Here is a 13841-nt window from a genome sequence, read left to right on the forward strand (position 1 = left end):
CATCCACATACTCTGCCTCGTCTGCGCAGGGCTCCCAGTCAAGGGCAGGCAGGCACACACCAAGATGATACCCAATGCATCCAGGAGGACCCTCTCCCATCCTGCCTGGTCTCTGCCTGGACCCTCATGGCCACAGAAACTAGGCTGAGAGTGAGGCAAGCACACTTGCATGTTGTAGGGATGATAATCCCAGCAGGCAAGAAACAAGTGAAAACCATCAGTGTCTGTCAAAAATTTTATTTTTTTCATATCACACAGAATGATGTTAAAATAAATCCCCAGTAATATATATTTATATACTTATTTACTTGTGTCAATATTTACAAAAGACTGTGGAGCTCTATGAAGTCTATGTACACCCATGATCAGGTGGACAGGCAATGTTCATTGAGGCACATATGTACACATATATGTATAACCTATGTACAAATATCAGACCCTACTGACACAGGAACTCTCAGCTGCAGAAGTCCTGGGTGGGGCAGTGTTGGTGGGGCTGAAAGCTTCCAGAATATGTCAGCAAGAATGATAATATCAATACATCCTGTGCAATGTAGTTACAGCTGGTGTCTAAATTTTCAAGAAGCAAACAAATAGTTAAATGACTCCCAACTCCCATGAGTCTTCCCCGCAAGTCCTGCTCCGCCTTCAGCTCTCATTGGTCCCCAGCCTCTTATCACCATGGAGACCCCAGTTCCCTTTCGGCATCATCCTTACGAAGCTTTACCATCAGCCTTGGAGTTCCTTCTGCTATTGATCCCAAGGAGGCTTATTTATCTACCTCTTTGAGTTTTCAGCAATTATTAGAGACAGGACATGGGAGGGCAGCTGAAGATTCATGCACAAGCAGCAAGGAAGCCAGTGCAAACCCTAACTGGAGTCTGTGCTGCATGAGCCTAAGTGAGTGGCGGCCATTTCCTCTCTCTCTCTCTCTCTATATATATATATACATATATATATATATGTGTGTGTATATATATATACACACACATCACACACAATATAAAGTCTCCAGAGGCAGCCTATATAAGCACATAAGCACACAGGTCTGGAAAAGGAAATAGCATCCTCCACTCATGAGCTTTACAGCTATGTCCCTGATGAAAACTAGAGAATCTTCCTTGATTGCTGGCACCATTAATCGCAACTGTTCCAAGATTATCCTTAGTGGAGAGAGGGGTGCAGGGATGCAGAAAACCAGGAAGAGGCCAATTTGGCTGGGGTATTGTTTGCTCAGCAGGCTAGAGCTTGATCATGGGACTTTCCAGCTTCCTGGGGCCCTTCAAATGAAGGAACCATCCAAGCACGACAACAAAAGGAAACTGGGTCGCTGGATCCCACGTGAAGGCAGAACTGGGGCAAGCACAGAGCATGTTCAAACCCTCAGGAGCTGAGACTCACCCCCGCCAAAGCCAGCCAGGCCTCTCTTCTTGCTTTTCTATCCCATTTCTTAGCCTGGAGCTGATGTGCTCCTTTCCAGCCCCACCTGGCAGGTCAAAGTCCTTGCCCTACACTTCATAGGCTAAAAAGGCAGTAATGTTAGCAGCTGACATGGAAATTGTTTGGTAGCAAAGTGCGCCCCTGAATATTCTCTTCCTCCCAGCTCCTCCTATTGCTTTCTCTAGCAGCCCAGAGCATTTATTCACTCATACAAACAAGGCATTCGGTGTCTAGGGAATCATTTTCAAGGAGAAGCAGGGCTTAGAGGCCTCTCACAGAGACTCAGAAAGACACCAGACTGAGTCCTCTGGATAGCTACCAAGGGTCCTAGCACACAGCCACATCTACACTGCCCTCAATGATCTAGATGTTGCAGTAGCTGTCCACATTATTACATAATCATGCCCTGTGCATCCATCAGTGGAATGATGCAGGGAGTTCTCAGCTGCAAACTCATCTGGAACATATTAGACTATTTTAGGAGTGCAGAGGAGCACAGAAAGTTATATCCATTTCCATGCTGAGGTTCATGAAGTACAAGAAGTAGCCATCCAGACAGGCCACCTCAACTGCCTCAGTGCACCAGCTGGTCATGTCAAGTCTGGGTTATGGGCTTCTGCTGCCTGATCACAACTAACATAGCCAGACTGGAGGGCTTCTGTGGGTGTGGGGAGATGGCAGACACCCCTGCACCACTTCAATTGCTCCAGATACAGTGAAAAATCCCTCCCACTCCCATCTAGGTAGAAAGCAACAGTCAAATGCAAGAGGTGAGGCTGAGAGAAACTGTCTTCCATGGATCTAACACACTAGCAGGCAAGAGGGAGAATGAGAGCAGGTTTTAGCTTGCATCCAGCTGTTTCTTGAGTGATGTGTACAGCTTACCCCCAAAGAGGCAACTGAATTTCAGCTGCTCTAATACCCACACCCTCAACTTAGGTTTAGTCATAATAAAAAACAGAATGGATTTGTTAGTTCCATTGATTGCCACAAACCTCACCTTCTGTGTGGCAGAGATGTGCTTTAGTTCTTCATTGGAATGTTACTTTCAGATCTCACAAACCTCAAACCTAGGGCACCACCAATGACAAAGAGAATGCTAAATAGATAAATCCTTTGCCAGGTCTTCAAGCTTTCCACTCCCCTCGAGTACAAAGTTTGGAATAACTTTTCTGATCCTCAGTGATGAGGTTATAGCCAACCAGGGCAGACAGAAGAAAGGCTAAAGCACCTGGCTGTTAGATCAGACTTCCCTTTTATCCCTGAGTCAGGCAGCCACCTGGGAGGGAAAGGAAAGAGGTGATCCTGTAGCCTGTTCTTTTTTTATGAAAGATCTGCCTTCTAGAGAGGTCCCTAAGCAGAAAAAAAAAGAGTAGAACTGGAGAGGTGAAAAGAATGCAAAGGAGGTCATTCAAAAAATGCACATAAATGCAGTTTATTCCTTGGATTGCCAAATTTATTCCACATAAGTGAAACTAAGGAGATTGGTCAATGTATAATTCTATAATTTAAAAATAGTATACATATATACATATACTATATATATATATATACACACATAAATATATGTATATATGGAAAACCTCTAAAAACTCAGGACCAATTAACCAAAACCTCGATTGACAAGAATTATGTTTTCTTACTATCCTTTCAGTAGAAAGAGGCAAATGACAGCAAGGGCTCCGATGAGCCAGGATGTGCCCCAGTGGCCCATTTCCAGGCCTGTCTTGTAGCCAGCAGCCATTCAGCCTGTCTCTTTGGTCTTCTCTACCTATGTCCACTACTGTACAATAAGCATTGAGGTTTACAATGTTGACCCTGAGCAAGGCAAGGTCCCTGTTATCTTCAAACACTCTACTTAACTAAGGCAGGAAAGTTATGCTAACCTACTTAGGAAATATTTTTCTCAATAACAAAGGTTGAACCAGACATGCTTTCCCATTCCCACTCAAATAACCAAAATTGCAAAGCAATCAGGATGTTCCTGTCCCTGAGGTTTCCCCATCAGTTAACTGAGGTTTTGCTGTACATATGTGTATAGAGCAAGGTAGATCAAAAAAGGATGGAATGGGACCCTGGGGTTGCCAGCCTTCCCTGATTGTCCAGTCTGAACATTTAAGCTCACAGATGTTAGGAAAGGGGACTCTTCTGAAGCCCCTGGCTATGTGTGCAAATATTTGTGCAGCTGCACACTCTAGCGGGTGGTAGAGTCTTTATTTCACTAATGTCATGCCCTAACCACCCAAACTTCTATCCCTGTAGACTTCTACTGAAACCCACAAGAACCTGCTTCCTTCTGCAGCTCTCACGGAGTCCCTTTGGTTGAGCAAGTCAGCTTATTTTGAAAGAGAGTCAGAGGGCAATTCCCAAATCTGCCCAGGCTACTGATCCCAAGTGCAAACCTCCAGGCCACATTCCCTCAGCATCCGTCTCCCTGGGGAAGGGAGAAGGGGAAGCAAAAGGATCAAGTAATGGCTTTTAGTGCATGGAAATGATCTTCTGTAATGGCTCAGGATGCTTTATTCTTATCTATTGGGAAGTGCTTTCGTGTAGGCTTCCATTACATCTGCCAGACTGAGGGAAAGTCAACAAAATGGGCTGAAAAGGTCACACAAACTTAGGATTTTCATGCCTAGAGGTTGTAAGGATGCTGTATGACAGCAGGCAGAAATGGGGAGACAGAGGGAGAGGGGACAGAGACACACATGGAGACAGAGAGGTGCACACAGGAAGGAGACAAAGTGACAAAGCCCTCTCACAGGCCTTCCTTGTGCATACACTGCATCTTAGCATATGTGTCCATTCCAGAAGGAGGTCAGATCTCAAGAGGACAGGAGTCATGTGAACACGTGGGAAGAAGAAGAAACTACAGAGACTGTGAATGAGCCCCCAGAAGTCAAGGGCATTATCTGATAATCCAGGTACTATCTATCACTTTTCAGTCCTGAGAGCAAGATTTTGAAAGAGCTATTGCTAAAGAAAACAGTCACTATTTATTTTATTGCACTTTTCCTCTTTAAAAATATTCAAACACAAACTATGAGAGATGAAGCTGAGATTTGGTGGGAAGGGAAGCAGAAAAAAAGGAAAAGTAAACTAGGTTAGTTTGAGGAAGAGAACCTTCCTGCATGTAGGGGAGCCCCTACCTCCATCTGTCCCTGCTGGTTGCTTTGATAGGGGAACAGGGTTGGACTCAACAAGGGCTAAGTCTGAAGATATAGATGATGGTCACAATAGCTACTGAGAGAGCTCCCAGCATCCCCCTCTCTGCGCGTTGGCTCAGGTGACTGATGATGTTAATGAGGTTAAGGTCATGAGTTCAAACCCGGCAATGGATACCTTGCCAAGGCTAGGGGAACCTCCATTGTGCAACCAAGGAGCACCATGGATATTATAGCCCTCGCAGATGAGGCGGCCATCACCCACATACAAGTTATTATGACAATGGGCCCCAGGAAAGCTCTGGGGAGCAGAGCTCAGCACCATCATCCCCTCTCTTGAGTAAACAAGTCAAAGCACTGTGCTCCCCTGCCTGACATAGGGGTAGTGGTGCCACCTTCATATGCAATTTGCACACTGTTCTATAGTTTCCTTAGGGGGGAGTCAGCCTCTGTGACTCTACTACTGTGGGCAGTGCTGAATCCCCAGCCTGAGGAGCTTCAGAGGGTGCTGTCCTCTCTCCACATGGGTTGATACTGATAGAGTCCTCACTATAATATAGTGAGAGATCCAGGAAGAATAGGTAGAACAAGCTAGTCCTGGGCCCTCCCAACACGGAGCAGCAACATGAACACCCAGGCTGGGGTCTCAGGCCATCATAGCTTCCATGGGAGCCCTTTCCATACTAGGCTAACGCAATCTAGAGGCACACTCCCGTGGGGCCCCTTTTAAAAGGCTAACCTCATGGTGACATGCCAACACTAGCCTCAGAAACACAGGTGAGAGGGACAGAGGCAAGCAGAGAAGAAGGAAGAGAGCATGTCAAATATTACTGAAGTTTCAGAAAGCACAGAGCCTTAATTATTTTCTTAATTAAATGTTGGCTCCTAAAAAGTTTACTCTGAAATTTGACCCACTCAGCCACTCTCTCTTCCTGACAATCTCTCCACCTTTCCTGGGCCTATTCCTTTTCGGTCTCCTGAAAACTCCAAGTTTCTTGAAAATGAATCCACAGAGGCACTTGATGAAGCCAACAGGAATGGTACCTTGACCTGGAAACACAAGTTTCCAGCAAAGCACACGTTTTGGACCCATATGTCCACTCCCTACTGTTGTTACCTTTTCTGTAGAGACTGGGAGCTGCGACCATCACTGGAAGGGAGAGTGAGACACAACGGGATGGCTGCAGGAGCAGAAATCAGGAGTGAGGCCTGATCCAAAGCCTGACTGCAACTCTTTACTTCCGATGTAGGTGAAGCCTTTGCTAAAATGCACTCAGCTCTCAGCTAGTCCTACTTAGGGGAAGAACCAGCTCCAAGAGTAATCCAAAATGGTGGGTAATCTTAGAAAGTATTTAAATATGGCCTTAGAATATAGGATAAAGTCAGGCCCTCTAAAAAGTGTTAGCTTGCTTAGCCTTAGATGTATGTTCTTAATCACTTTTTACTTAAGCTGAACTGGGTTGCATAGCAATTGGATGGGAGGCAGGGCATCCAGGGGAGCCCAACAAGAGGAAAAGGAAGAGCGTGCCCGGGATTGAACACACCCAGAGGGGAATCAGGAGTTGGCCCCTTTGGGCTTATGCACAAGAGCAAGTGAAATGCCACAAGCAAGTAAAGGTGGCTCATTTTAAGAGACAGGTCTCTATAGGGTCTCAACTTCCTGACCGTGCCCCCAACAAAGCTGCAAAGGATGGAAGGGCAATAAAATCTGTGGGCTTAGAGAATGTTGGGGACATCTTTACCCTGGTCCTGGGCTCAAGATCCTGCAGTTTCTTGAGCCATTACTGCTTTTAAGAGAATAGGGCTGAATCTGGAGATCCCAGGTGCTGGGAGAAGGGGAGCCTGGGCTATTGGGTTGTCTGTGCGGATTTGCTGGAAGGAAGGAAGGGTCATGGCAAGGAGGCCTATATTAGGCTACCAGCTGTCCCAGGTACTTTCACACCCTGCACCCAGGTTTCTGGTGGGAGGAAGGTGAATTGGTAGAGACCCCATGCAATTCCTGGTCTTAGTCAGATATCTGCTTGATGTGGTGGCCCATCCTCCTGCTTGAAACCTAGGAGTTACTTCTCAGGAGTGAAATCTGGTAGTGAGAGAAAAGAATAGAGAAAGAGATTCCTTGAAAGATCCTGGGGGATATAGACACAGGCCAGGCAAAGGTGATTACATCTGATCTTTTGTTTGTGCCTGTTAATTCATAGCTCTGGGGGCAGGGCAATGGGTCTGAGTATATGTCTGCATTTCATGTGTATTGTGCGATATTTTTGGGCATGTGTGCTATGTATCTTGTATGCCTATTATAAGTTAATGCATCGTGTGTATATACTGAGTTTGTGTGTATTTTATGTGTAGAAACAATGGTAAAGTAGCCTTTGTGTATCTTATATGCATATGCATTTTGTCCATGTAGTTTTTTATGTATTTTGCATCTGAGTTTCAGGTTGTATATTTGTATGTGGTGTATGTTTGTCTTTTGTGTATGTTCTGTGTAAATTCTATATCTGTGCAGAGTGTGCATTTTATATACAATTATAACCATATATCTTCTGTGTTTGCTTTTATGTTAACCTGGTCTGTCTGTATTTTGCACGTTACATGTTTTATGTTTGTGTGTGACAACAGTGTACCTATTTTGTGGTGAATGTGCATGACTGTATGTGAACATTTTAGAGTCCTGGGCCAAGGACACTGTGATAAGATATCTATCCCTGACCTAGGCCTCAGATATGGGTTGCTTTACCTTCTATTTTCCAAAGATCTGTGTCCCTCCCACCCCATGCCTTGGAAATTCAGCACCACCTCCCATGAAGGAGAGGAAGAGAAGCACAGAGGCTTTGTGCTGGGCATGGGATGCCCTGCAGATACCTGGGGATGTGGGTGACCAGGCACTAATGAGCACCCTGGGCCTAGCACCCTGAGCTGGTGCCCCATGCCCCAAGACAACTGTAGGTGCTAACTAGGCAGCAGTGAGGCCTGGGCTGGAGCCACCCCTGCATAGCCCGACCCCTGCAATTCACTGTTTGGGAAAATTAAGCTACTCCGTCAAAAGGCAAAGACGCCCAGTCTGGTGAGTTAAAAGCCCCCTACCTGAAGCCATTTCAGGGTCAACCTACTGTCTACCTTTAGGCTGTGCAGTGCTCATTTGCACTCTACTTCTTCTGGGGGGTGGGAAATGATTCTTTACCCATCCTTTGGTTCTTTTTAAAAAGCAGCTCTGGTTGCCAGTTTAATGGGGAGAGAGTTTGGGTCTGGAGATCAAAATGATGCCTTTGGATCATCTAGGGACTCCATCACTTAGTCCCGGACTTCAGACATTTCCACATAGAGGAGGCTCCCTTTAGGTCCAGATCAGTGGAATTTGGTCCCAGGGAGTCCTACTCCTTGGTGTCCTTGGTTTCAAAGCAGGGGATCCATTCTGGCTCTTTAGCGAAAGGTTTGTGAAAGTGACGGATGCAGAGCCAAATGATAATAAGATCCAAGTGGCAAGGGAAGAGGTGAAAATGGAGATGATGAACAGGATGAACTGTAGAGAGGAGGCCCGGGGTGGGTCTGGCCCAGGACAGCTGGAACTGTGAGGGCCACAGGGCCCTTGTGCACTCAGTAAGACAAGCTTCAGCCATGGGAACTGAAGCTGCAGCACATGGAGGGCAGAAAGACAATTCTAACGTCTAGGAATCCATGGATACCGGAGTGTCTGAGGCAATGGCAGCAAACCCAGGCCCAGTGGGGTTACCAATGAGACAAATTAACCCATTAGGCCTCTTAGACAGCCAACCCACCAAGCAGTGGATTTGCTCCTGAACCTGAACTCCAGAAAATGAATATATATATATATATATGTGTGTGTGTGTGTGTGTGTGTGTGTGTGTGTGTATACATATACACACATATGTATGTATATATATACACCCTAGTGCACATAGTCAAACACATGCATAAATTGCCCTTTGTCAAAAATATTGCATAAGCTTGTACAATGTTCAAATGCAATTTCTTTTCTATCACTAGCTAGGTAGAGGAACGCGTGAAAGAGAGATACTCGATATATATTTATATACACTGGATCCACAGACCTGCCTGTCATCAGGACCAGATGCCCTGGTCCACTGTACAGTCATGCCCGCGACTAGGTTAATTCCTAAGGTGCAGTCATGTGAGGTGTTCAGATGCTGCCTTCCCCGCTTACTCTTCTGGCTTTGCAGAGGTCTGCGTTCCTGTTTAGAAGAACAGGGATAGGTAGGCTGGGGGGCCAGAAGTTTTAGTTCCATTCCAAATAGTCTATTTTTTTTCCCCTGATGGAGGGATTTTTGCCTTCTGATGGGAAAAAAACCCCTAGTTCAAGACCATTCCAAGCCTATTAATACTCTAAATATTAACACTGTGTAGGCTACTAGGAAAATAGGTTATCTCCTGTGTTTTAAATATTGAGATTCATGCAACAAACACCCATGCAGCTCTATTGCATCACTGGTAAATTTCACTGCAGTGTCAGTGTAGCTGGGCCACATCAGTGGGAAAGCAGATGTCTGCAAACTCCAGTAAGAAACCAGACATGTTTTTGTGACCCTGGAGCCTGCAAAAATGGTGAAATCAGAGGCTTAGAGGTCTGTTGGTTTGTTAGCTTCTCCCCATAGGCCTAAGGGAACAAATGTGAAACTTGACAACTCATATTCGGTCATACTAACTGTCCCTCCCCCGGGCTTCCCTCACATCGACACTGCAGAGAAAAAGCAGAATGCAGCATTTTCCGTTATGAAACACAAGCCTCCAGAGCATCTACTTGGCAACTGCAATTCACAAACTCCAGCCTGTGACACAGAAAGTAATTCCAACACACAGGACTGTGTGTTCTTTTCAATGCAAAAATGAGTATGACCTTTTGAACAAACACCAGCTATTTAAAGCTAAGCCATGATTGTGTTCCTCTGTGAAAGGGCAGGTGGGCTCAAATAAGGTGGTGGGATGGTGGGGAGGGGAGTGCATCTCTTGGATGTTGTGTGCATTTCATTAGGAAGGAATGATGGCACTGATATGGTGCACTGTGTATGGGATATGAGGTGGCCTCAACGTGTCTATCTGAAATCCTAGCTTGATAGGTGACTCCCGTCTTTGGAAGTTCATAAGCCGGTGATGAGGATGTGCATGAAAGCCATGATAGATATTCTGTGTTCTAAATCAAAAGTCAAAAGATCAAAAGTCACTTGCACAACTATTGCTTTCCATGCAGAACCAGATACACACTGTAGAACACACTGACTACAATGCAGGCTATTATGCAACATCTGCATTAGTTCCATTGAGCTGTGAGTACGGTAATAGGTTTCAATCAGACATCAGTTAACATTTTGGTAATATTCACATAGTTTGTGTTAGCCAAGGTACAGTTGGCTGTTTTCAAGTTTTCCTCTCTAAAGTCCTCATTACTGTTATTTACACCCTCCTGGATCTCCATGTAATCAGACTTACTAATGGTAGAGGCACTTCTACTTTTCTTTAGGTCAGGGGAGGATGGGATCTTTGGACAGCTTGTCACTTGCAAGTATTGGGCCTGTTCCTCTCCCTCTGTCTCCCGGTGGTAGAAGTAGTTGAAATTGGACACAATGACAGGGACCGGTAAGGCAATAGTTAACACACCTGCAATCGCACATAGGGAACCCACTATCTTTCCCCCAATGGTAGTCGGAACCATGTCTCCATAGCCTACAGTTGTCATGGAGACGACTGCCCACCAGAAGGCATCTGGGATGCTGGGGAACTGGGACTCTCGCTCATCGGCCTCTGCAAAATACACAGCACTAGAGAAAAGGATGACCCCTATGAAGAGAAAGAATATCAGGAGGCCCAATTCTCTCATGCTGGCTTTGAGGGTCTGACCTAGAATCTGGAGACCTTTGGAGTGTCTGGACAACTTGAAAATCCTAAAGACTCTTACCAACCGGATGACACGGAGGATGGCCAGTGACATGGCCTGCTGGCCTTGCTGAGCGTCCTCTGGCTTCTCAGCCAACTCTGTCCCCAGGGTGATGAAGTAGGGGATGATGGCCACAATGTCAATGATGTTCATGATGTTGGTGAAGAAGCCGGCTTTGCTGGGACAGGCAAAGAACCTCACCAAGAATTCAAAGGAGAACCAGATGATGCAGAGTGTCTCTACAATGAAGAAAGGGTCTGTGAAGGAAGTGGACTGCTGGTACCCGATGGTGCTGTTGGAATAGGTGTGGAAGGTCACCCCACTACCATGCATGTCTTCATTCTCATCCCGGAAGATGGGCAATGTTTCCAGACAGAAGCTGACAATTGAGATCAGAATCACCATGACAGACACAATAGCTATAATCCTGGCAGGCCCTGAGCTCTCTGGGTATTCAAAGAGAAGCCACACTTGTCTCTGAAACTCATTTTCAGGCAGAGGACGCTCTTCCTCCTTGATGTAGCCTTCATCTTCCCGAAACATCTCCATCGCTTCTTCTCCCAGCTCATAAAACCGAATTTCTTCAGAGAATATATCTAAGGGCACATTCACAGGTCGCCTCAATCGGCCCCCTGACTGGTAGTAGTACAAAATGGCATCAAAGCTAGGGCGGTTCCGATCGAAAAAGTACTCATTTCGGAGGGGGTCAAAGTACCTCATTCGTTTCTTTGGGTCCCCTAAGAGGGTCTCTGGAAACTGGGCTAAGGTCTTTAGCTGGGTCTCAAACCGCAGCCCTGAGATGTTGATCACCACCCTCTCACAGCACTCGTGGTCTGCCTCTGGGTCATAGGTGTCCTGTGGGTGCCCAGGGAGGGCAGCAGCCTCGTCTGCTGGGTCTCCGGTGGCCACTGTCATAATTGGGACTGAGAGAAGCACCTCACGCTATGCCTTTCAGCTGCCTGGTGGCAGGGAGCTCAGGGTGCTGCTACTGGCCCCAGGAAGCACAGGAGCATTGGCCTGGTCTCCTGCAGGAGAGCCCCGAGAGCTCTCTGAGAGCTGGAGAGACAGCCTCGCTTGGCTGAAAGACAGAGGCAGTTATTGACATGAGGCTACTCAGCATTGGCAGCCTGACCTGGGTTGCCACTTTTTGTCTCCCATCTCTCAGCCAAGAGTTCAGACACATGATCACCACCACCACAACGACAAAGCAAAATTTACTTTCACCTTGTAACTTGTCTGGGGATCAGGGGGAGCAGGTAGCAATCTCTCCAGGAACCTCTGGAATGCCCTGCATTGGGGGAAGGTGGCTGGTACAGGCCCGCTTGTAGCACACAGGCTTCATGGAGCATAACCCCATGCTAATAGGTTAAAAGTGGACCCTCTCCCAGGTGCTGCACTAATGTCTCAGATACTCATACCCAGGGAGGTATTCATGGTTGGGGAGCTTGGGCCTGGGTCTTTCTCATTGGCCTCCACCCCAGTGATTCTACACAAGGCTGTTATTAAATGATAGATTGATTTACCTGACCAGAGACGTGAAGCTCTCTTCCTTGCAGAGCTGATCAGATGCTGCAGGAATCTGAGATGCACCAACAGGCAGCCCAACTCCTCATCACGTCTTCTCACTCGAGCTAGAAATAATGGTGAGTCATTCTGGGCAGAAGGGCAGACTCTGGGTCCTGGAGGTGAGCTCTAGGATTGGGCTGGGCTGGAGGGGCGGTGAGGTGCCTGGCCAGGGGCATGCGGGACTTGAAGACAGCCGAGCATGGGCCTGGAGCCTTTTGAAGGAAGGAGGCAAGATGCAAAGCTCAGCAAAAGCTGGAGTCCTGGCTGTCCTCAGGAGGTGTGACGTTGCCTGGAAAAAAACAGCAGCAAGGTGGAACCAGGGCATTTGAACCAGCTGGTGCCAAGATTTAGGAGGGTCTGGCAGCTTCCCTCATGGGAGGTAACAGGCCCCCATGCCCATCCTCTATTCTGATGCCAGGCCTGAGGACTATCCCTCAGCCTCCTTGCCTCTTCTGGGCAGGCTTCCCATCAGCTTGAAGCATTTTCTCCCAGGGAGCAAGACTCAGGCTTGGCTGGGCCTGCCTTCTCCAGGGGCCTCCCTGGGTTGATCCAGGTTGCTAGTCCCCAGCTGCTCTCAGGAAGGACTCTGGAAGAAGCACTCCTACCCCCACATGTCAGGACACAGCAGCTCCCAAGAGGAGGGCTTAGCTCACTGCAGCCTGTCTACAAGCTCTGACCTCAGCCAGTCCTGGAAAAGAAGCACCCCACCCCCCAGCACACACACTCCTTCAGAGCGCATCTAGGGAGACCCCACACAACAAAGTCTGCACTGTACGAAAACTGGATGAACTTACTCTCCCTCCGGGATCCCTGGGCCGCAGGCCTCCCTCTGAGCCGGGTGGCATTTGAGCTGGGCAGGCGCTCGACCACTGATTTCTCCCCCAAGAGAAAATCCCTCACATCTCCTCGGCAGGGAGCACAGAATAAACGCTCCGCCTGCCTAGCTGCGAGGCGGCTTGGCAGCAGCGAGAGGGGGAGCCTGGAGGAAGCCGGCTTCCGGACTGGCCCCCTGCCGACCCAATCCCGCCGGCCCCAGGGCGGGGAGGGGTCTGGGCCCTCTCCCCATCGCCCCGGGCTCCGGCCGGGATTCCGTTCGGCGCACTCAGCGCTCGCCTCCGCGCAGAGGACCAGACCCTCCCGCTGGCCGCGGCCGCTAGCGCCACCTTAACCCCCTCCTGCCCGCGCGGTCGGCTCCTGCTGCGGGCCCAAGCGCAGTTCAGCTCTTAAGCCCCCGGCGTCCAGCCGAGGGACCGCCGAGGCTCAGTGTCCAACCCAAAATCCCGGAACCTGATCTCTGGGGGTGGGGAGTAGCCTGCGCCAGGCTGCCGCCCCAGATCTCAGCTTCCTTTTAAGCGCGGGGGCTCGGCGGCAGCCCACGGCCCCAGCGAAGGGGAAAGCCCTCTCTGCAGCAAAGCCGTTTGTTATTCTGTGCCGAAGAGGCGAATGCAGCCCGGCCGTCCCAAGTGGTTCAGGTCCTACCAACCCGCGCTATTTACCAGACATGGTTATGCTGCCAGCTGCACTTCCCACCACCCACCAGCTCCTCTCCGTGCCCTCCGCCCCGCGCCACGCAAACCCCAGAGGGTCCCGAGCCCATTCTGTGCACTCTTCTTGAGCAGGGTGCAAGTTCCCCTTGATCTCCCCGGTCTGGGACCTGCCGAGCAGACGGCAGTGGTCGGCAAGGGCTTGCCGCCGCGGACTCAGCCCAAGCCTGCTGCGCTGCAGGCTGCGCCGCCGGGTGCCCCGCAGCCCCTCTGGGCGCCGCA

The 13841-nt window shown here is 48.6% G+C and overlaps 1 protein-coding gene across 6 annotated transcripts in view; it reads right to left on the minus strand.

Moving 5' to 3' along the window:
- The window catches only part of KCNA2 (potassium voltage-gated channel subfamily A member 2), a 37861-nt gene continuing 24241 nt past the window's right edge, over positions 222-13841 (minus strand). For 4 of the 6 annotated variants that reach the window (XM_011541398.3, XM_011541400.3, XM_017001213.2 and 1 more), the window contains exons 2-3: positions 12033-12364; positions 222-11587 (exon numbers count right to left, since the gene is read on the minus strand). In XM_011541398.3, the coding sequence (XP_011539700.1) occupies positions 9925-11424 (1500 nt within the window). In that variant the 5' untranslated portion in view covers positions 11425-11587; positions 12033-12364 and the 3' untranslated portion in view covers positions 222-9924. Of the gene's footprint in view, positions 11588-12032; positions 12365-12869; positions 13001-13841 lie in introns of those variants that run through there. The other 2 variants (NM_001204269.2, NM_004974.4) reach the window with 2 other exon arrangements.

The sequence above is a fragment of the Homo sapiens genome, chromosome 1, assembly GCF_000001405.40.
Source record: "Homo sapiens chromosome 1, GRCh38.p14 Primary Assembly".
Taxonomy (NCBI): Eukaryota; Metazoa; Chordata; class Mammalia; order Primates; family Hominidae; genus Homo; species Homo sapiens.